This window comes from Homo sapiens, chromosome 1 (assembly GCF_000001405.40).
Source record: "Homo sapiens chromosome 1, GRCh38.p14 Primary Assembly".
Lineage (NCBI taxonomy): Eukaryota > Metazoa > Chordata > Mammalia > Primates > Hominidae > Homo > Homo sapiens.
The window spans coordinates 7315904-7339914 of record NC_000001.11 but is presented as its reverse complement, the minus strand read 5'-3'; the positions used below and the strand labels follow the sequence as shown (position 1 = coordinate 7339914).

Here is a 24011-nt window from a genome sequence, read left to right as displayed (position 1 = left end):
GAAGAGAGTGAGATGATCAGCTGGGTGCAGTGGTTTATGCCTGTAATCCCAGCACTCAGAGAGGCTGAGGTGGGTGAATCACTTGAGGTCAGGAGTTTGAGACCAGCCTGGCCAACATAACAAAACCCTGTCTCTACTAAAATTACAAAAATTAGCCGGGCATGGTGGTGCACACCTGTAATCCCAGCTACTTGGGAGGCTGAGGCAGGAGAATTGCTTGAACCTGGGAGGTGGAGGTGAGCTGAGATTGCGCCACTGCACTCCAGCCTGGGTGACACAGCAAGAACTCTTTCTCAAAAACAAAAACAAAAACAAAAAAACAACCAACAAACAAACAAACAAAACAGAGTGAGATCAGCATGAACGTGCTTTGAGAAGAGAGGAAAAAAACTCAGAATGGCCAAGCAGGGCAGGAAGGGCTTAGAAGGAGACATGCCTGGGTGTGCGTCTTAGACCTGCCACTCTGGGCAAGTCACTCATCCTCTCTGACACTCATCTGAAAAATGATGACAATAATTCTGACCAAATGTCCCTCCTTGGAGAGGGCTTCCCTGACTGCTGTATCTGAAATACTCCACACTCACCTAGCTTTGTCTTTTGTTCTTTAAACAGCTTTATTGAGATGGAGTTCACATTCCGTACAATTCTTCCATTTGGAGCATACAATGGAGTGGCTTTAGTATATTCACGGAGTTGCACAATCACCACCATGATACATTTCAGAACATTGTAAACTTACTTTTTGAAATACACAGTATGGTTTGGGTCTGTGTCCCTGAACAAATCTCATGTCAAATTGTAATCCCCAATGTTGGAAGAGGGGCCTGGTGGGAGGGGGCGGAGTTCCCCCTCGCTGGTCTCGTCATAGGAGTGAGTTCTCACCACATCCAGTTGTTTAAAAGTGTGTAGCGCCTCCCTGTTCTCTCTCATCCTCCTGCTCCAGGCATGTAAGACATACCTGCTTCCTCTTCCACCATAATTAAAAGTTTCCTGAGGCCTCTCCAGCCATGCTTCCTGTACAGCCTGCGGAACTGTGAGCCAATTAAACCTCTTTTCGTTATAGATTACCCAGTTTCAGGTATTTCTTTATAGCAGTGTGAGAACGGACTAGTCCAATAGACATCACATAAAATTCACCATTTTAACCACCGTTAAGTGCATGTTTTGGTGGCGTTAAGTCCATCTACGCTGCACAGGCACCTTCCCCACTGTAGTTTCATCACCTTATCCTACTTTTTTTCTTTCTCGTGGCACACACACCAACTTGAAAATCGCTGATGTTTCAGTTCTTGACTGAATGCCTTTCCCATGTGCACTCCATGAGGGCAGGGCTTTGTCTTGTTCACTATCTCCAACACTTGGAAGAGCATCAGGGACATGGCAGGTGCTCAATCAATATTTGAATACATGAATTGATGATGCATTGACACAAGGAGTCCATTCCTGCGTACATGGTGGGCTTTATGGAAAAGCTCAGCGATGCTCCTGGTGCACAGTCTGTACTCAAAGGCAGACGGCTCCAAACCCTCCAGAACTAGGCCAATCCCTTTGTGCCAGCCGTGTCCCGGCCCTACATGAGTAGCCTTCATCCCTTGTTACCTGGCATGACTCTATAGGTGGCATTGTCATTGGTGTACACTTGTTTCTGTGGAAGGGGGTGCACTCTCTTCTTCTGCATCCTTCTTTCTGGGACCTAACGGGACTGGGTGCTGGGTGAGTACCAAAGCAGGAGGGAGACTGAGGTGTCAAGAGCAGAAGCCCCAAAATCTGGAGGAGGAAGTGGCACCTCCATCTCTGTAAGAGTCAGGGTTCCCCAGCAAAAAAGAACCAATAGGACAATATATATGTAGTCCTATTGTGTGTATATAATATATATGTACATATATGTATATATGTATATATGTTATGTAGCTATATATAGTATATATACACATATAATACATATATATATACATGTTTATTTCTAAGGAATTGGCTCACACGATCTATTGTGGGGACTGACAAATCCCAAATTTGTTGGGCGGACAAGCGGGCTGGAAATTCGGGTAAGAGTTGATGCTGTAATCTTGAGTCCAAATTCCACTAGGCAACAGGCTGGAAACTCAGGCAGCGCTTCTAGGTTGCAGCCTGGAGGCAGAACTCCTTTTTCTTAGGGAAACCTCGGTCTGCTCTCAAGGCCTTTCCCTGATTGGATGAGGCCCATCACCCACATTGTGACTGGATGAGGCCCACCGCCCACATTGTGATTGGATGAGGCCCACCGCCCACATTGTGATTGGATGAGGCCCACCGCCCACATTGTGATTGGATGAGGCCCACTGCCCACACTGTGATTGGATGAGGCCCACTGCCCACACTGTGATTGGATGCAGCCCACGGCCCACACTGTGATTGGATGAGCCCACGGCCCACACTGTGATTGGATGAGGCCCACCATGCACATTACGGAGGGTCAACCACTTCCCTCAAAGTCTGCTGATTTAAATGTTCATCACATTTACAAAATACCTTCACAGAGACATCGGGACTGGTGTTTGACCGACATCTGGGTACCACGGCCGGGTCAAATTGACAGATGAAATGAACCACTGCAATGCCTATCAGACACGCCCTCTCCTAACCTCGCAAGGGGTGCTTACCTCCCCTCAAAGGAAGAGGACGATGTGGCAGTCGGGTGGACACAGGTCCTTAGTCCCCGTCCCCCTCACAAGGTGATAGGTATTGATGGACTGGCTCTAAGCCAGGCCTCCTAGAACCACCAGGCCACTACGGACTCACCAACATTCTGCTCAATCATCTGCCGTAATCTGCCTAAGCAACTCCCCCAGAGAGGTCAGATCACTAGGGATCGTATTCAAGTCATGTATTAGTTATTGCTCAGAGGCCTCAGGGACATAAATCAACAGAAAAGCAAAAAGGCTTCTGGACCTGCCACCTCATTTTCTTTCTTCCTGGATGGGACCTAGGAGCTATGATCCAGAGGAAGATAGGGAGGGGGCCGCTGGCCTTGAGTTCCTTGGCACACATGTGGGGACTCCAAAGGACAGGAGTGAGGAAGATAGAAGGGCCATGGCCTTCTCCCTGTTGCTGGCCCCGAGAGAGCTCTGTGAAGGAGGCCCAGTGGTTAGCTCTGCAGGGGAGGTTCCCAGCCCCCTGCCCACCTCGGGACGTGAAACAGAGAAATGCGATCAAGGAGTCAAGGCCTCCTGCCAGGTTCCTCGCCCTGGCCTTGCTGGGCTAGGCTCTCTGCCTTTCATTTCTCAACAGACCTCTCTGCACCTGCTCAACAGTCCCAAGTCATTTATGTAACAAGCCCTGTGCCTCTTCCCTCTGCTAAGTGTCCTCTCCCTGCCCACCCCTGCAATCACACGTACATGCTCCTGAGAGGCCAGGGTGGTCATGGAAGCAGGGACTATGGGCCAGGAAACTTGCTCCGTTCTGGAAGGATGGCCAGAGAGAAGCTGCTTCCACCAGCTGGTGCATCTCATCACCCCCAAGTCAATTCGCCTGGTCTGGGTTTGCAAGTTCATGCTAATCATGACTCCTCCAAGCCAGGAATCCATGGCAAAGCCCTACCAGGCAGCTCTGGGCTGCAGAGATGGCCCAACTGAATAGCCCAGGCCTCTGGGCGCTGATGAACACACGTGCTCTCCATCACACAGCCCCAGGCCACAGCCAGTAGAGCTCCTGGCATCTCAGGGCTTCATGGGGGACCAGGTGGGCTCACTCACTCACCCACACTGTGAACAACACTGTCCCCATGCATCCCTCCCCAACACCCAGTCCAGGCAGGCCATGGCCAGGCAGAGGGTGAGAGCGGCCACTCCAGGTGGCCAATTTGGGTCTTTGTTTTGTGTTTCAGTGGGATAATGAATGAAAAATAAAATCACAGGTGCTCAGGAGAGGGCTGCTTCTTGGGCAGGAAAGCCGGTTTCCAGAGTCGATGAGCCGGTGGTTACATTTTAATTAGTTTGATAAATAATTATGCCTCTGAGACACCCAATCTGCCTTACAGGCTCTCTTCCCCACCATCAATAGATTAATCTTATTTAACCACATTTTACTTAGTACACAAACCCGTGTTCTGTGTTTCAAATACCAAGGTTGCAGAGGTCTTGGTTTTTGCCTTTTTTTTTTTTTTTAACGTTATCTATAAACACATCTACCTCCACTGACTGGCAAAATTCCTGCACTGTAAGTCAGCCTGGCAGATTCCACCCTGGAGGACACACGCGTGAATGCTATTTGCCCATCCTCTCTGAGTATAAATCCTGGCCTCACTCTTCCTCTGTGTGAAAGCCCTGCCTGGGTTTTCTCCCCAGAGCGAGATGTATATGGCTCTCAGGTGCAGACCCATCTTTTTATCCAAAGCACTGGGAAGCCTCAAGCTGGAGCCTCAGCTCCAGGGCATCAGGCGGGAAGTTGGCAATGTTCAGGGCCGAGATCACTCAGCTGCTTTGACGGGCATCCCCGGGACTGCTGACGTCCCAAGGCACTGACAGGTGGCTGCTGAGTAAACGGTCATTTGACCTATATGTTTGTTTTGATAAATGCCCGATAGGAATGTGCTACTGGTAAATTTCAGTTCTCAGGAAAGATATTGATACCCATGACATTCCTCATTTCCTCAGCTTTGCAAGGCAAACCGGGATTACCCTGAAAGTCTAACTCACTGAAAACTTGGTGGGAACTTGCACAGAAGAATCTAAACAAAACCCCAGAAGGGTAGCCTCGGGGTCTGACACCCCCCACCCCCACCCCCCCCCCCCCCCCCCACACACACACACACAAAAGCTGTGCTGCCAAACAAGCCCTCTTCTCCGTAGTATATAGGTCCAGTAAAGTCATAGCAGGGGTGTCTCAGAGCCTGGATTTGGTTTAAAAAATGGTTTGTCCTAAAGGGATCTGTATGAGCTTCAGCAAGCAGATTCATCAGTTTAAATTGTCCGCGGAGTGCAAAATGAGAGCTTCCTCCTAAGTCATGCTATGACATGTTCTAGTTAGGAAGGGAGCTTTCCCGCACTCCAGATGCCAGGTGATAAGAATTACTGATGCATTGCTTTCAAAACAGTTGGTTTTATGGCTTGGCAGAGCTGGCTCTCAGATTCTGCTGGGCTTCATTTGCATACCGAATGACAGCCTAGGAAAAGGCGACCGGAAGGCCTCAGACACCGTCAGCCTCTTCCATCTCTGCTGCCAGTTATAGGTCATTTTAAACTAACATCTGGTGAGTATATTTTTAAACCGTATCTGTAGCTTTAATTAGGGATCTCCTGGGAATGTCAGGGGAGGAACAAGAGAGACATCCCCCGGGGGAGATGAAAACACTGGCAGTTCCACACATGCAAAGCCCCGGAAGCTGCCTTGGCCCAGTTTTATGACACTGTATGTTCAACTGTGATAGGGGAGCCCTTTGCACAAGAAGATCTTAATATTAGCTACATGCTAGGGTAAGCAGAAATTCCGTTTCCGCATCCAAAAGAACTGACTGCCTCCAGGAGGTGGCTTCTGTGCCCAAGATCCAAGAGGGGTTTCCCCTTACGCAGCCACAGAAACCAAAACTGTCCCGAAAATGTTGCCAAGGAATGGAGAGGTCACCTTAGGACCCTCCTTCCAAGAGTATTTGTGATGAAGAACTAGTCAAGGGCTCCTCTGCCCTGGCAGGGAGAGTGATTTTTTTCCCCCTTTCTTTTCCAAAAGGACAATTCTGGAATGATACCTCATTACATGTGACAGACTTTACTTTCCACGTAGACCAGTGCAATTTAATATTCTTCTTACACGTGTTCATTTCTTTCAGCGATGTTTGAGATCTAAAGTACTATTTTAAAATTCTGTAAATTCTCAGGGATGTATATTTAAAAGCCAGATTAAAATGGCCTTTCCTCTCCTTCCCACTTGCCTGGCTACGTGACACAATTTGCCCACATCAGGCTGGAGAGCAGAGAGCCCCAGGAGTCTAAAGAGAGGCGGCCCTGCTGCTTGGCAGTTTCCAACCCCACCTCTTTCCTTGATAAATGTAAGTAATAAAAAAAAATTCCTCCATTTCACTGGAATGCCCATTAAAATGTAAACACAGAGAGAGGATTTTGAGGAGGCTACAAAAATGCTTTATTCAAGAGACTGCAAACGGCAAAGCAAATCTAAAGTTGATTTTTAAACCTAGTCCGTGGTATGTAAATACACCAGGCTCCACGCCCCTGCAAGGCACACAGATCACCGGGATGCTTATTGGAGAATCTGCAACATGGCGGAGGCTGTAACCCCAGCCTCCCTAGAAGCTGGGACGACAGCAGCATTTAAGCCCCTCAGCCTTTTCCTTTCACAAAGTTGTCTTCCTGGATCCAATATGAAGATCCAATGCCTTGGCTGCGCATGGCAGGAGCCCCTGACATTTCTCACTGCCGAAATGTAGGACCTCTGCCGGGAAATCTCCCAGTGCAAAGGGAATTTCACAGCAGAGAGAACGGTGTGTTCTCTCCACCTGTTCCACCTGTGACCTTGCAGGAAGGCGTGCCTATGCGATCATCACTCTGCAGCGTGGGGTCCCGTGTCAGATCCGACTCCCCTGCGGGTCTCTCCCTCACCGGCAGGAATGACAACTAGGTTCAACTCATGTCAATTGCCAAAGCTTGCAGAGCCCAACCTCGACAGGGAAGCTCATAATCACCTGAGAGTCATCCTCTGACATGTTTGCTATCCCTGTCCAAAAACTGCAGAGAAGGGCGACATCATCAAGTTTACCATCAATCAGTTTAGCTCCTGAATGCCAGTCACTGGGTGACCTGCCACTAGGACTAAAGAGGATTCTGTTGCTCATGCCCGCTGGAGTGGGTGCAGCAATAAATGGCTGAGGAATGCAAGGAAACAGACCATAAAGGGCTTCACACTTGCCCCCTCTCATGGAAGCCAACTTCTTCCACCAACTCTCCATAGTGTGACAGTCCACAACAGAGTGGCCATGAGTCCACTGTGAACTTATCAAGCCTACGGTCAGCTTTCCCTGCACCTCTCAGCACACAAGCTCACGCTTCGTGCAACCATGGGGGTTGCAAGCCTAGTAATGGGTATTGTGTGTGTGTGTGTGTATCTGCGGGTGTGTGCTCATTTCTATAAACTGTAAGTATATTCTTTATTTTTACTGCCTGCTTTGCTCAGCCTGCAGACAGCACAAAGATCATCAGCAGCCTCCTAAATTATGGATTGGCTCACCAAGTACACTGTGTCGCTCATTAGCGACATCACCATACAGCTCCACACAACAATAAATTAAGTAACACAATGGCTGCGGGAAAATTAGGTGAATAATTCTCACGTTAAACTAAAAAGTTCTGGATGTCTTTGGTTTCTTCCGGGCTGCTCCTAAGACAATACAGTCCCGTGAATAGACAACAGACAGGACTCTAAATTCCAAGGGTACAATTCTTCAGAGCGAGTTAGGTGTGGTTTACATTAAAAATAGAAAAGGCTCCTGCAAACAGACTTGTATTTATATAGAATGTTGTGACAACTGTCATTTTACATTAGTCAGAGAAATCCCACAGGACTGGTATAAGTATTAAATGTGGCCATTTTTTTTGTTTACCGACAAAACATAATAAAAAGAACACAGCCTCCTGGATGACATTCTGGAGGATTTTTTTTCTCCTCTTTCCCCGAAGTCATTCATAAAATAAACATGTGTTCCCAGTCCTCGCTGGCCTTCTTTATGAGTCTCCTGACAGGGAACTCAGAGTGACTGGCAGATCGGGGCCCCCTCAGAGGCCCCACACCAGCAGCCCCTCTCCAGACCTGGTGCACTCTTGCTGCATTTCCATTTGGTGCACAAACATCAACTGTGAAGCATGATCCCAGAGTCTCCCTGGAACCGTGTAATAAGGATGGAGTTACAGGGTTTCAGTGTGGACATTTATGTTGTGGGGGAAGCCAATCTTTCTGCACAAACGGGTTGGGGAGAGGCGTCTAAGTCTTGAATCCCAAATAGTTTGTCATGGGCCTCCTGCTGTCAAAATACAAAGACCTCAAAAGAGCTCTGTGGGATCATCCAAAGCAGAATAAGAAGGACGAGGGACATGTAAGTTACCCAGAGTCAGCAGCCCTCAATGGCCACCTTCCCCATGTCCCCATCCATTGCAGTTGAGAAGGTCAAAGAGGTAGAAAACCAAGAGGAACTGCTGACCCAGGCATGAGGTTACCTGTCTTGCTGAGCACATGGTTCTGACCACGGTCAGCTCTCTAGGGGGTGCCAAGGGCAGAGGTTCTCAAAGCATGGCCAGGGGGTTCTAGACCCTGCTCATAATAATGCTAGCATGTGATGTGCCTTGTGTGTGCTGCAGCATTTTCCAGACGCCACTGGATGTGATGATGCTGATGGTCTGGCAGCTCATGGAATGTGCAGTGCTTGTGTATTCTCTTGTTTTAATTTTCCTCAGTTTTAATGCAAATACAGTGAATATTAGGAGATGTAACCCACATAATCAAAAGAATGCAATAAGGATGGAGCTTTGTGAGATCCTCATTCATTTTTAAGCGTATAAAGGGGTCCTGAGACCCGCATGAGGGCTGCTGCTGCCCTCAGGGGTACCTGGCCAAACCGATGATGGCCCCATAGGCTCGCTCTCCTCTGAAAGTCTGGCATGGGGGACCTCACTGAGGTGTTTTGTTTTGTTTTGTTTTTTGGTGGAGTCTCGCTTTGTTGCCCAGACTGGAGTGCAATGGCATGATCTTGGCTCACCACAACCTCTGCCTCTCAGGTTCAAGCAATTCTCCTACCTCAGCCTCCGAGTAGCTGGGATTACAGGTGCCTGCCATCACTCCCAGCTAATTTTTGTATTTTTAGTAGAGACGGGGTTTTGCCATGTTGGCCAGGCTGCTCTTGAACTCCTGACCTCAGGTGATCCACCCGCCTCGGCCTCCCAAAGTGCTGATTACAGGCATGAGCCACTGTACCCGACTCTAACCCCATGAACCAAACACAGCCCCAGCCTCCCAAAGCCCTACGATGTGGCCGCAGCCTGACTCTGGTGGTGTGACTATGAGGCCAGCCCTGCCTGCTTCCCCCAGTATCTGGCTGATAGGATGCACACAGCTCCTGCGGGCCAGGCTTCACTGTCATATCCATTCCCTGCATCAAAGAGAGAATCAACACAGAAAACCATGTTGGCATTTAATACTTTTTTCTCTTATAACTTAACAGCCAGTTAGTATAAACAGTTGTGATTGAACCATTGCCTGATATTTTCCAGTACATGTTCACATGTCCTGGGTAATGTCTTTATCTAGAATTCAGATATCCGAGACTGGGGTCAACTCAAATGTGCAATGAATGATTTGATTCAATGAGGTGAAATGCCCCAATCCTGTTGGGGTTCACCCATGGTACATGTGGGTGCTCCTGGTTCCTCATCTCTGGCCTCAACTCACATTTGGGTCCAGAAGAATCCTCAGAAGGGGGCGTACACTCCATTTCCCAGCCAAGGAGGAGGATGCTAGGGGAGCTCCGGGTAGGAAAGGCACGACAAACGTGTCTCTTCCCCAGCAGCAGCTGCACCGTCAGGCCTCTTCCTGCCGCGTGGTCCAAACAAGAGCGGGCTGAATCCGGGTCCTGCGACTATTACAAGCCTGTGCTGGGGGCTGGCCATCTGGTGTCTTGGACCCTCTGTTATTTCACCATACTATATTCCCACCTCTGTAAGTTGCTCTGTGGAGTAGAGATCTCACGTGCAGAGCCTGGATTTCAGCCTGGTAACAGTTGGCACTCAGTACACCCAAGTTTCTCTCCCTCCCTTCCTGGTAGTAATGGCTCAAGGTTAAGCATCACGACCACCAGTCCTATCTCCATGTCTGCTGCCTGCCTAGAAGCCCGAGAGAAAGTGTTGGGGAAGAAAGAAGCAGAGGGCTGAGGTGCCCCAAGAACAGCCTGGAAATCTATCTGTGGCCGTTGTTACCCATGAGCATGGGCCTGGAGGGTCTGTGGGAGAGAGAGCCTTCTTACTGCATATCTTTTTGTATCATGTGTATTTTTGCCAGTTGCGTATTTTCATAATAATAAAAAAGGAAAAACCCTCTTTGTGTTGGGATAATCATCATTAAATGGGATTTCATTTCATTATCTGTAAAAGTGATAGTTTTGCAAGCCTTAGCATTATAGAACCTCAGTAGCAATGAATTTGGGGTTACACATAGAAGAGATGGGGTATCGCTTCTGTAATTGAACAATCTACCTCCCTCATCTCAATACCATCACACACGTAGGGTATTTATTGGAAATCACTTTTTCTGAATGGTCTGTGGTCAGCTTTCAGGGAGAAATGGACCTCTAAGTCCCTTCAGCTGTCAGGTCTCAGATTCTAGAGAGATTAGCCACGGGAGAAACATAAAAAAGAGTTTTCAGAAAAACAAAGCCTGAGAGCAAAGCATTTTTGGTCATAGGTGAGACAATTTGACATAAATTGGCAAAATTTTAAAAGAATTTTAGAATCTCTTGGTTCTAAGCTTGGTGTCAAATTTTGGAATTTCTTTCCACTAATGAAAAACGTCTTAAATTAAGAAAAATAATAATTAATTTTGAACACACCTGCAACATCTTAATTGGTCAAAATATTAAATTTAATTGTTTAGAAAACATTTAGTCATAGTTTGTGTTCATCCAGGGAAAGAAATTTTGTAACTCCAACATAATTAGAAGTTACATTAAGTTATTAATTTAGAGCTTGGGATTTTTTTTTTCAAGATGTTACTTCAACTTCTTTGACTTAACACTTCTATGACCTACAGTAAAGTGAAGATAATCACACTCTTTGGATTTTTAAGGGCAGATTTAGGAAGGATGAAGATGCATTAAGTGGAGTTAAGGCATTTTGATTTTGTCTCTGGTGCAGCTTTTGGAGTGCAAGGTCATAAGGTAAAAATAACCAAGCACATGAGGACTCAATTCTCCATATGTGAGAACCAGCACAAAGAAGAAAAGTTAAGAATCAGATCTGCCAAGACTCAGATATTGGAATTATCAAAAACATAATATAAAATTAGTTTGTTTAATCTGTTTAAAGCAAGAAAGGAGGAAAATGAAAGTATGATAAGGGAACAAGAGAATCTCCAAACCAACAAGGCAGATTTGGGGGGAAAAGGTAAATAGAACTTCTAGAGATAAAAAATACAATAACTAAAATTTAAAACTCAGTGTAAAGAAAATACTAGATAGTCAAAGAGAGAATTGATGAGTTAAAAGACAAATAAAAAGATATTACTAAGGAAGCCAATACAGAGAGAAAATGTTGAAACATATAAAATAGAGGTAAAGATGCAGAAAGCAGAGTACAATACAAATGATCTGACTTCAAGAAGGAGAGAAAAACAGGGCAGTGGTGATAACTGAGTTTGTCTGATAATTTCTATTTTTTATTATTTATTTATTTATTGAGACAGGGTCTGGCTCTGTCTCCCAGGCTGGAGTGCAGTGACAGGATCTCAGCTCACTGCAACTTCTGCCTCCTGGGCTCAAGCCATCCTCCCACTTCAGCCTCCCAAGTAGCTGGGACTACAGGAGCATAACCACTACAGGAGCAAAAGAATTTTTTTTTGCTTGTAAGAAGGCATTTTGCCATGTTTCCCAGGCTGGTCTCAAACTCCTGAGCTCAATCCGCCTGCCTCAGCCTCCCAAAGTGCTGGGATTACAGGTGTGAGCCATCATCCCGACCTGTCTGAGAATTTTTAGAGCTTCTGAAAGACAGCCAGCCACCAAATTCGAGAAGGAAGCCCAGTGAATCCCAGTCAGGAAAAGCAAAAACAAACCCTCACCTAGTACATCACAGTGAAAATGTGGAACACAAAGCTAGAGAGACAACCTCAACAGGAGTCAAAGAGAAATGACAATTAGAATGACGACTGATTTCTCAATTGTAACAATAAGTCTCAAGAGACACTGGACTAATATTTTCAAGTGCTGGGAGGGAAAAAAAAACAAACAAACAGAACTGTCAACCTGAAACTGTATATTCAGCAAAACAATCTTGAAATAATGAGAATAAAATGAAGATATTTTCAATAACAAAACAAAACCTGAGAGTTCACTTTCAACAAGACTCCAGAAAGGAAGCTTCTCAAGAATATACTTCAGGGAGAAGAAAAATGATCCCAGAAGGAAGGTCTGAGATGTAAGAAAAAATGATGAGAAATAAAGTGGTGGAATGGAGAGAAAACATAAACAGTCCCTCCTCCCATGCATGAGCTGTGCTCCTTCTTACCTAATCAAGGACATTCCTCCAGCAGTATTCCTGCCTGCTGTATCCTAATATTATCAATATTCCACTCCCTACCAGATCATTCCAACCTGCAGGGAAACATGCTGCTATTTCTTCAATCTTAAAAAAACCTTCTCCTCATGTCTCCAACACTACCACCTTATTCCTTTGCTTTCCTTGCAGTTATCCCTAAAAACAGACATCTTTACTTACTTGTCTCCCATTTCTTTCCTCCTGGTCTTTTTTCTTTTTTTTTTTTTTTTTTTGAGATGGAGTCTCACTCTGTTGCCCAGGCTGGAGTGCAGTGGCGTGATCTCGGCTCACTGCAAGCTCCGTCTCCCGGGTTCATGCCATTCTCCTGCCTCAGCCTCTCCAAGTAGCTGGGACTACAGGCGCCCACCACCAAGCCTGGCTAATTTTTTTTGTATTTTTAGTAGAGACAGGGTTTCACCGTGGTCTCGATCTCCTGACCTCGTGATCCGCCTGCCTCGGCCTCCCAAAGTGCTGGGATTACAAGCGTGAGCCACTGCGCCCGGCCTCCTCCTGGTCTCTTTTAAATCAACTCCAACAGACTTTCCCCCCCGCCTATCCACTTAACTACTTTTGTCAAAAACCTCCTCATTGCTGAATCAATGGCCAGTTCTCAGGGCTCTTTGAATGTGACCTGAAGACAGCATATCACCTCCTCCTTCTTCATCCTTTTTTGTTCGCTTGGCTGTCACAGTGCACTTCTCCTGAGGGGTCCTTCCTACCTCATGGTCATATCTTCTCTACCTGCTTTCCTGGACCTCCTATGTCCCTGACAAGCCTCAGGGCTGATTCTGATGTTCTTTCCTACTCACTCCCTCATTGTATTAGTTTCTTGGGGCTGCCATAACAAAGTGCCACAAACTTGGGTGATGACAGCAACAGAAACATATTCTCTCACAGTTCTGGAAGTCTTAAGTCTGAAATCAAGGTGCTGGCAGGGCCATGTTCTCTCTGAAGGCTGTGAGGGAGAATCTTTTCTTATCTCGTTTCAGGTGCTTGCTGGCAACACTTGGCATTCCTTGGCTTGAGTTGCATCATTCCACTCTCTGCCTTCATCACTTCACGTTTTTTCCTCTGTGTATCTGTGTCCAAATTTCCCTCTTCCTTTAAGGATACCAGTCATACTGGATTTACAGCTCACTTTAGTCTGACCTCACTTTAACTTGATTATATCTACAAAGACCTTATTTTTAAATGAGGTCACATTCACAGGTGCTGGGACTTAGGACTTGCATATGTCTTTTGAGGGGGACAGAATTCAATCTCTCAACTAGAAGTACCACTTCCCTGCTGATGACGTACACATTTATCTCTCCAGCTTTGCTTTTCTCCTCAACTGCTGTAAGGCAGCTCTCTGCAGAGCTAGTGGAGCTAAAGTTTCTGGCCCTCCCTTGTATTTGGTTTTTATGTAATTTTATGTTTTGTTCCTTAAAGAAGGCTCTCAAAATTGTATAAGCTTAAGGTCCACAAAACCTGGATCTGTCGGCCAGGTGCAGTGGCTCACGTCTGTAATCCCAACAGTTTGGGAGGCTGAGGCAGGCGGATCACTTGAGCTCATGAGTTCAAGACCAGTCTGGCCAACGTGATGAAACACTGTCTCTACTAAAAATACAAAAATTAGCCAGGCATGGTGGCGCACGCCTGTAGTCCCAGCTACTTGGGAGGCTGAGGCATGAGAATCACTTGAACCTGGGAGGCAGCGGTTGCAATGAGCCAAGATTACACCACTGCCCTCCAGCCTGGGCAACAGAGCGAGACTCTGCCTCATAAAACAAACAAACAAACAAACAAAAAAACCCACCAACAACAAACCAAACCTGGATCTGCCCTTGAAATGCCAGACTTGGGGGTCCAGTGGCCCCTCTGAATTTTTGAGGCATCTCAAATGCAGTATGTCCACAGCAGATCTCCCATGCTTCCTCCAAAACTGCTTCTCTTATAGCTTCCTCATCTCAGTTACTGCCCACTCTATTCTTCTAGGTGCTCAAGACAAAAACATGCAGAAAAAAGCTTGACTCTACCCCATCTCTGTTCCATTAGGAAATCTGTGCCAAGTCCAAGACCCCTTTCTCCCCATCCACCTGGCTACACCCTGGAGCAAGTCATCACCACCTCTCTTCTGGGTTACTACATTAGCATCCTAGCTGGCCCTGCCACGCTGGCTTCCTTGCTGTCTTTGAACGTGCTCAGCATGCTCCAGTTTAAAACTCTGTACTGGCTGTCCCTCCACCTCAGTGTTTCCCCTCCCAGGCAGACATGGCTTCTTCCTGGCACCCTCCAGCCTCCATTCAAGGCCGCCCCTGAGCACTCCACAGAAAACTGCCATTTGCATTCCCAGCCTCCCTATCTTGTTCTACCTTTTTCTCCCAGTCATGACCCCTTCTGATATCTTCTATCATTTCCTCGTGGATGTTTATTGTTTAGAATCTGTCACCCCAGCTAGAATGTCAAGTCCATGAGGGTGGGGACCTGTGCCTTCTCTGTTCCTTGTGTTTCCTATGTTCCTAGAACAGTGCGTGGAATTTAATGTTGAATAAGTATCTGTTGAAGGGAAGAATGGAAATATTAATTGTGTAAAATGATAATGATAATGATGTCTATTTTGGAGGGGTATAGAAAATCAAGATATAATCAACGTCTTCACAGAAAGAACACATTAGTAGAGTGAGGAAGGCCTGGGTGGGGGTTGGTCATGGATTGTTCAAAAGGATGGTCAAACTGTAGATTAACCTTAGGCCCTGTTAAGGTACCATATCTATGTTGGAATTTCTAAGGTAACCATTGAAAAATAGAAATAAAGGATATCTTCTAAGCACAGACTTTTTTTTTTTTTTTTGAGATGGAGTCTCCCTCTGTCACCCAGGCTGGAGTGCAGTGGCGCGATCTCGGGTCACTGCAACCTCCACCTCCCAGGTTCAAGTGATTCTCCTGCCTCAGCCTCCTAGTAGCTGGGATTATAGGCACCTGCCACCACGCCTGGCTAATTTTTGTATTTTTAGTAGAGATGGGGTTTCACCATGTTGGCCAGGATGAGCACAGACATTTTAAAATGGAAAAGGGAAAAACACAAAACTCAATTGAAAACATGGCGAAAGAAGGAAAGAAAAAAGATCACATGCAAAACAAACAAAAACACAACAAATGGAAAGTGCTATATGGAAAAAATAAATTCAAACAAATCAATAATTACAGCCAAAGTACATACATTCAATTCTCAAAATAGAAGATTACTAGCCTGGATTTTTTTTAAGAATCTTTATATATGCTATTTAAACCTGGAATAGTGAAAACACAAGGAAATGAAATGTTTAAAATAAAACAATGGAAAGAGAGAGATCAAATACTAAGCAAAAGAAAGCAGATAAAATAGATTTCAAGGCCAAAAGCATTACTAGAGATAAAGAGGATCACCATATTGATGAAATATTCAAGAGGAAGTTACAACTCTGAACTTGTGTACACCCAACAATATAGCCTTAAAATCTTTAAAGCAACATAGAGCAGAAGCAGAAATTCAAGAAGAAATGGGCAGATACATCATCATAATGGGAAAATTTTAATATACATGTCTTAGTGCTTGGTAGATCAAATAGACAAAAGGAGAAGAATAGAAAAGATTTGAATAACACAATTAATAAATCTGACCAAACATATAGGGCATTGCACCACAGAACATACATCCTTTTCAAGCATACATGGAACACATTTTGGACCATAAATCAAGTCTCATCAAATTTGAGAGAAACTATATTTCACAAAGCACGACCACAGGGCAATTGGATGGAAATTTTTAATAAATGTGTCCTTCCTTCATTCAACAGTTACTTATTCAAGATCTACTAAGTGCCAGACAGTGCTTTGTGCATTAAGGCTACAACGGTGAACAAAAGAAGACAATCATCTCTGCCTTCAAAGGAATGTATGTTCTAGAGAGGTCGTTCTAGTGTTTTAGTAGCAGGGGAAATAACAAACAGAAAATAGGATCCCACCGACTCAGGAGGCTGAGGCAGGAGAATTGTTTGAACCTGGGAAGTGGAGGCTGCAGTGAGCGGAGATCGTGCCACTACACTCCAGCCTGGGTAGTAGAGTGAGACTTCATCTCAAAAAGATAAAAAAAAAAAAAAAAAAAAAAAAAGAAGAATAAAGGAAATAGAATCATCCCAGGCTAGGGGTAGGGAGTACTAAGGAAGCACAATTTTACAATTTTAAATTGGGTGGTTTGGATTTCCTTCCTGAGAAGGTAAACTCGGAGCAAAGACCTGAAGGCCATGGGGGAGCAAGCCACATGGATATCTGGAGGAAGATTTTTCTAAACAGGATATAATGGAAATCTCCTCCTCCCCATATATTTGGAAACTTTGAAATACTTCAAGAAAGCCATAAATCTTAGAAGAAATAAAAGTAAAAATTGGAAAATATATTGAATTAAGTGACAGTGGTGCTACTGACCCAAACTTCTAGATGCATCTAAAGTAGTACTTTGAGGAAAAAAGTTATATACTTTAAGGTTAATTTTTTAAAAAAAGGAGTAAAAAACAATAACTTAAGAAATAGAACAAAATAAAACAATAGACACATGGGAAAAATTGAATCAACACACAAAAAGTAGAAGGAAAGAAGGAGGGAGGGAGGGAAGGGAAGGGGAAGGGAAAAGGGAAGGGGAAAGGGAGGAACGGAGGAAGGGGAGGGGAGGGGAGGGAAAGAAAGAGAAGAGGGAGGAAAGGAAAGGAAAGGAGAGGAGCTGAAATTTATGACATGGAAAACAAGCATACAAGAGAAGGGATCAATGAAGTCAAAGCTGATTCTTTGAAAAGTCTGATATTGACAAATCTCTGGTAATTCTTATTAAGGGAAGAAGAAGAAAGGTACAATTAAACAATATTAGTAACAAAACAGACACATAAGTACAGATGAAACAGAGACTAAGAAGATAAGGCAATGTTATAAACATCTTTATGCCAACTCATTTGAAAACTTAGGAGAAATGGACAAATTATTAGAAAAATGCAAACAACCAAGTGTGACTCAAAAAGAAACAGAAAGTGGCTTGAGCATTTTACATCCCCACCAGCAGTGTCTGAGAATTCTTGTTGGGATGATGGGATTGGATGGCTATTGCCACAGTTGCCCATAGTGGCCATCTGTTTTTATAAATAAAGTTTTATTAGAACATAGCCACACGCATTCATTTACATACCATTTCTGGCTGCCTTCTACAAAGACAGAGTAGCTGCAACAGAGATCATATGGCTAGTAAGCCTAAAACATTTACCATCTCTCCCTTTGAGAAAATGTTCACTGACCTCCGCTTTACAGAAAGATCAGAAACAGCCCAATTAATGTGCAATTGGAAACCAAATGAGAAAGCCAGGGAGCCTTCGATTGTGGGGCCGACAAAGCCCAAGACCAAGCCTAGGATCTAACCGATCAAGTAGCAGAGATGCAAAGCAGGTTAGACAGGCAACCAACGCAGGTTTGTTATGCCAGAGTCAGACACCGGGCTCAAAAAATTGATAACCCCCACACAGGGGATAGGGACATCTGTGCAAATGCCCCCAAATAATTTGACTTCTTCAGACTCTTCCAAATCTTCCAGGCCTGCAGAAGCATCCACCCCTCCCCTACTAGAGCTAGCAAACCCCTGCTCTAGAAAACAGTGCAGAGGTCTCTCTCCTGCAAGGTAACTGGTGCCTCGACTCAAGATATGTTCCCAATTTCCCTACTAACTATTGGGCCTAGGGTTACGTGGTGGTGTAACCCAGCAGGGGAGGTGCTGGGCCTGATAAGAAAGGAGAAGGAGGTGCAAGTTCTAGCCAACATGTGCTACCAGGAAGGAGGGAGGATAAAGGGGGATGGACTCTGAGGAAGCCTGGTCAAGTGGGCCTGACCAAAAAATTGGATAGAGAAGAGGTACTCTCCTGATGTCCAACACCATGGTAGGGATCCCTGGGGATGGTGTGAACTCTCTACTGGGATGGCTCCTAAAATATGCAAAAAGAGATGCTGAAATGTCAGAAAAGCCCTGACAGCTTGCAGAAGAAGGGATTAAAGGGCCTAGGAGCTTGGGCATGCTACAATGGATCTACCATGTATGCCCAGAATACCTGGGGATGAGCATGTTCCACAGGAAAGACCAAACAGCACACTGTTCTCCAGGGTCATAAGGATTGTGCCAGTGAGAGGGCCAAGCATCACTGAGAAGTTCAGCAGTGGCTCCCCTCTGCTGGCCAGGGATGGAGGGCTGACAGAAGGAGAGGCTGACAGAGAACCTGACTTGCTGATAGCAATGGTGCAATAGGACCCCAAAACGGTAAAGGCTAGTGCTTAACCATCAGAAGTCAGGAGCCACAACTACCAAAATGAGCAGCAAGGTCAGAGTGGCAGCCAACGGCCTTGTTGAGTAGAAGAAATCAAAGTTGGATGCCTGGGAGGCTGATGACAGTCACTTCCATAAAAATTCACAATCCCTTACCAATCTCTGGACCCAAGTCAGTTTTTAGACCTGCAACTTGTTGGAAAAAGAGATGGGCAGGTGCCCAAGAGAAAGGACCCTGCAATTCCGCAGCAAGTACATGCAATGAGCTCATTCCCCCATTCCTTCACCAAGGGGCTTACTGCCATTTATTTGGGTAACTATGCATTGGGAAAGACCCAAGTATTTTGAGGATGGTTTGGCACAGAGTCCAAGTTGATCTGAGACTCAGAGACCCCAGGTGTCATTGTAGGCCCCCTGTTGGATTAGGAGCCTGATCATAAATGGAGTCCTGCCCAAAGTCTCATTACAATGGATCCACTGAGCCCATGGGCCCAACTGATGGTCATTTCCTCTTCTTGAATGTGTAACTGGGATTAGCCTTCTTGACAGTTGGTACAGCCCCACATTGGGCCCTTGGTCTGTGAGGTACATGAGGGAAAAGGCAAGCAAAAGTCTCTGAAATTATCCCTCTCACCATGCTGGCTAAGATAGCAAAAAAAAAAAAAAAAAAAAAAAAACACACACAGCACAGCCCAGGGGGATAGTGGAGATGACAGCCACCCTTAAGGATCTAAAGGAAGCAGGGGAGTGGTCCTCATCATGTCTTTAATTCACCAACGTAGACCCTGCAGAAACCAGATGGATCCTGAAAGATGCCTATCGACTATGGTAAGTTCAACTGAGTAGCAACCCTGATCAATCACACCCACCAGCCAGATGTCTTTCCTAGAGTGGATTATTACAGCCTCAGATACATAGCATATGGCCAACTGATTCGATGACTGTGATCTCTTCTATTTCAATCAGAAAACATTTTCATTCATACGGAACAGATAACAATCTTCATTTGCAATAAAAAACAAAAACTCTGAGAAAAGCTGGATAGAAGAGAACTTCCTCAATCTGATAAAGAATACATACTAAAACTTTACAGCAAGTATCGTAATTAAAGGTGAATTATTGAAAGTTTTCCTTTTGAGATCAAGAGCAAGACAAGAATGCCTACAATCACCTTACCACGTCTACTTGATACTGGGTGGGAGAGCCTACTCAGTGTAATAAAGCAAGAAAAAGAAATCAAAGCATAAAGATCAGAAAGGACTGAATAAAACTTTCATTATTTGCAGATGGCATGATTGTATATGTAGAAAATACCCAGAGTACTGCAGATAAGCTATTAGACTGGGTAAATAAATTTAGCAAGGATGCTGGGTACAAGGCCCACACACACAAAAGAATTGCATTTCTCCGTATTGGCAGCCATAGAATAAATAACAAAATTTTTAGTATGCCAAGGAAAAAAAAAATGATTTAGTATAGCATCAAAAACATCCACTCTTTGGGAATAAATCTAACAAAAGACGCACAAACTTTACGCTTTGTTTTAAGCTCATTGAGAGCAAGGACTTTATTTTGCTCATTGTTGAATCTTCTCAGGACTTGGAATGCGGCTGACAGATGGTAGCTGCTCAGTAATTATTTGCTGAATGAGTGAATGAATGAATGATTATATCCTGATGCCCAGTATGTGTTTCCTCCTTACTAGCCATATTAGTCCATTCTTGCACTGCCATAAAAAATAGCTGAGACTGGGTAATTCATAGAGAAAAGAGGTTTAATTGGCTCACGGTTCCACAGGCTGTACAGGAAGCATGGCAGCATCAGCTTTTGGGGAGGCCTCAGGGAACTTACAATCATGGCAGAAGGCACAGCAGGAACAGGCATTTCACATGGCCGGGGCAGGAGGAAGCGGGGTGGAGATGTCACATACTTATAAACAACCAGATCTCATGAGAACTCACTCACTATCACGAAAATAGCACCAAGGGGGAATCTGCCCCCATGATCAAATCACCTCCCACCAGGCCCCCTCTCCAACACTGGGGATTACAACTGAACATGTGATTTGGGCGGGGACACAGATCCAAACCATATCACTATCTCACCCTCAACCTTCCTTCAGATCTCCATGTAAATGCCACTTTCTCACCCCTGCACCTTTCCTCTGAAGTGCCCACCACAAATGTACATAAGTAATTAATCATGTAGCTGGTCATTCAGTGTCTGCCTTCCCCCCTCCCCTAGACTGAGGACTCCATGAAGGCAAGAAATGTATCTGGTATAAGAAGTTTCCCAAAATATCCTTTGACTGACTAGTTGAATGAACATTACCCACAATTCAATAAGCTGAGACTCCAGTCGTCCATTTTCACCCCAACACACACGATTTCGTGCTGCCTTCATATGTTCCCGGTTTCCCTAGCAGTCCACCTTCACCCACCTCCATTCCCTTGTTCATTCATTCACTGAATATGCCCAGAGGCACGTGCATGTTCCAGGCACTGTGCTAGGCCCTAGGGATCCAGCAATGAGTAAAACGCGTGGCACCAGGGAGCTGGCTTTCATTGGTAACATGTGAGGCCCTGCAGAACAATGAGGAAAATCTCGTCTGATTGCAGAGAAGGGTTCTCCCTCTGCAACATTTTATGTCATCCTCCAAAATAGCTGAGGAACCCAACCATCCTCTCCTGTGGAATTCTGATTTGGTAGCTCTCTCAGCTGAGTGGTCAACTAAGAAAACCCCTTTCATACAGTCAGAGCTCATATTAGCTGTGATTCATTGGATACCAAGATGGAGGCGAAAAATCAGAAATACGTAGCTCTGGTCACATTACATTTTTCTTTAACCAAGGTAAGGGTCCCTTGTAAATATCCCCTGAAAATGGCTGTGAAACTCACTGGCCTTCGCCTCCCATTCCCTGTTAAGTTGTCCAGTGCTATATTTTATTCATTATATACCAGGTAACCACCCAGGAGAGAGACTTCCAGCCAACCAGTCACTGACCAAGTCCACCATACCCCAGGGAAGCCTTTACGGGCTGACCCAATGCCTGAAATTCAGAAAATCTCCAAGTGCCACCTGCCACTGCTCAGTGCCTCCCTGTGTTTGTACAACTAGCAATGCAGGAAAATTTCTGCCTTATTTGGAGGAACACAGGCCTGTTCTCTGAGCTGCAGTAAATTTCCAGCCAGGGATGGGGCCTCCCTGCTTCTGCACTGGCACACTGGGCCCTGACGTCAGCCTTGCCGTCATCTTCCCCCACCCCCTTTCTTTCAAGCATGCTAGCTCCACATACCTGCCCATTTCCCCAGGCCATCCATAGGGAAGGCACCTGAGCCATCAGAGCCTGGGTGGTAGGAAGGGCCTCAATAGGCAAAGCAAGTACATCTCCCCTTGGCTTAAAAAGGATCAAGAAATGTGCCCTAGGCAGGAAAGGAACAGAGAAGATCAATAATTTGTAGCTCTGGTCACTTTACAATTATTATTTTTTTTAACCAATGCAAGTGTCTCTTATAAATATCCCCAAAAAGAGTTTTGAAACTTATGCCCTCTAGCCCCTTGTTAAGTTGCCCAGGGCTGTGTTCCATTCAGGATATGCCAGTTGACTGGTCACCGACACAGGGCACAGGCTCAGACAGGACACCTGCGTGTGGATGTCATCCAGCTCAACCGCTTCCAGGCCTGTGCCATCTTCTCTGCCTCCTGTGTCTAAAGGCATCAAGTACAACTGAGAGAGCACCGACAAAGAGTCATTGCCAGCTCATTTTCAAAGCCCTTTGATTGGGAATTTTGCTTAGATAACAACACGAGCAAACTTGTAAGCAGTGTTTACTGTGGCAAGCACTGTTCTATGGGCTAGACACGTATTAATTCACTGAACCCTCACAGTGATTCTATCATCATTTCCATTTTGCAGATGAGGACAGGGAGCCACAGAGAGGTTGAGTGACTTCTTCAGTGTCACACAGGTGGATCACAGAGTTGTCATCCTTTCAACAGCCACAGCTAACAGCTAACTAACCTAAGCTGCTGCCAGCTTCCAGGTCCCAGACTAAGTGATGGGGAAGATCAGAGTCAGGTGGGCTGTCCCAGGACCACACGCCTCCTGGGGATTCGCCCTGGCCTCCTTCCTACTCCCGCAGGCCTGCTGTGGTCCCTTCCCCATCCTAGGCCTTCCTTCCCTGTACCCCCGGCAAGGGAGCAACTTCCCTTCACAGTGTTGGTCTCCAGAGGGGCTGTGCTCCCTACAGCAGGTTCCTGTCCATCCAGTTCCAAGAACAGGGTCCACATCTTGATAGTTTGTTTCTGCACCACCTCCTCACCCCTGGCAGACAGGACGGAATTTGCTTCGAAGTTGAGGCCCCACATGGCCACTGAGTGAACAAATAGGTGCTCTCTTACTCTCTGCCGCTCTCCCATACACTGCTGTACCCCATTTGTATGGGGGGAATCCTAACTCACCCTCAAGTTTCAGCTCAAAAGCCTCTGAGAATCCTCCTGATCTGTCCAGGAGGCCTCCCCCAGAGCATCTTCCTCCCATCCTATCTGGGCACGGCCACCCTCCCCTCCTGAGGATCTCAGCACAGGCTGTTCGTGTGTGTCTGCCTCCTCCCCAGATTGTGAACTCCCTGAAAACAAAAGGCCAGGCCTTTCATTTCTGCATCCCCCAGTCTAGCAGATTGCTGGGCATATAAACATCTGCGACTAAATGAACGAACAGAATTGTTACGAACACTAGATGTTAATAGTACAGCCACCTGGAAAGGATTCTATGAATGGTACAAGCAACAATAACATCAGCAACAGCAATAAATACCACTTATTGAGTACTTACCGTGCGTCAAGCATTCTGCTGACTACTTCACTTGTGTTATCTCTTTTAATCTTTAAAGGATCCATACCAAGTGAATAGAGTCCTTCCAAAATCTATGTTCACCCAGAACCTCAAAAGAGACCTTATTTGGAAATAGAGGCCCTGAAGATGTAATTAGTTAAGAAGAGGTCATATCAGATTAGGGTAAGCATTAAATCCAATGCCTGGTGTCAATAGAAGAGGCCATGTGAAGACCCAGGGAGGATGACATGGTTTGGCTGTGTCCCCTCCCAAATCTCATCTTGGATTGTTAATCCCCATAATCCCTGTGTGTCATGGGAGGAACGCAGTGGGAGGTAATTGGATCACCGCAGGTTGTTTCCCCCGTGCTGTTCTCAGGATAGTGAGTGAGTTCTCATGAGATTTGACGGTTTTATAAGGGGCTCTTCTCCCATTGCTCCACACTTCTCTCTCCTGCCACCATGTGAGAAGGTCCAAGCTTGCTTCTCCTTAGCCTTCCGCCATGATTGTTAAGTTTCCTGAGGCCTCCCCAGCCATATGGAACCGTGAGTCAATTAAACCTCTTTCCTCTATAAATTACCCAGTCTC

General features: G+C 45.6%; 1 protein-coding gene across 25 annotated transcripts in view, besides 2 other annotated features; it reads right to left on the bottom strand.

The window, feature by feature from the left end:
* The window catches only part of CAMTA1 (calmodulin binding transcription activator 1), a 984253-nt gene that overhangs the window by 429792 nt on the left and 530450 nt on the right, over positions 1-24011 (bottom strand). The gene's annotated exons all lie outside the window — the stretch shown is intronic.
* Positions 3143-4020: an enhancer, noted in NCBI's record as "H3K4me1 hESC enhancer chr1:7395955-7396832 (GRCh37/hg19 assembly coordinates)". NCBI's record gives its function as "activates a minimal SCP1, AML or CMV promoter by ChIP-STARR-seq in primed H9 embryonic stem cells {active_cell/tissue: H9 hESC(primed)}" and the evidence as "EXISTENCE:reporter gene assay evidence [ECO:0000049][PMID:30033119]".
* Positions 21097-22296: an enhancer, noted in NCBI's record as "CDK7 strongly-dependent group 2 enhancer chr1:7377679-7378878 (GRCh37/hg19 assembly coordinates)". NCBI's record gives its function as "activates an origin of replication core promoter dependent on BRD2, BRD4, P300/CBP, MED14 and CDK7 cofactors, with strong dependence on CDK7, by STARR-seq in HCT116 cells {active_cell/tissue: HCT116}" and the evidence as "EXISTENCE:reporter gene assay evidence [ECO:0000049][PMID:35650434]".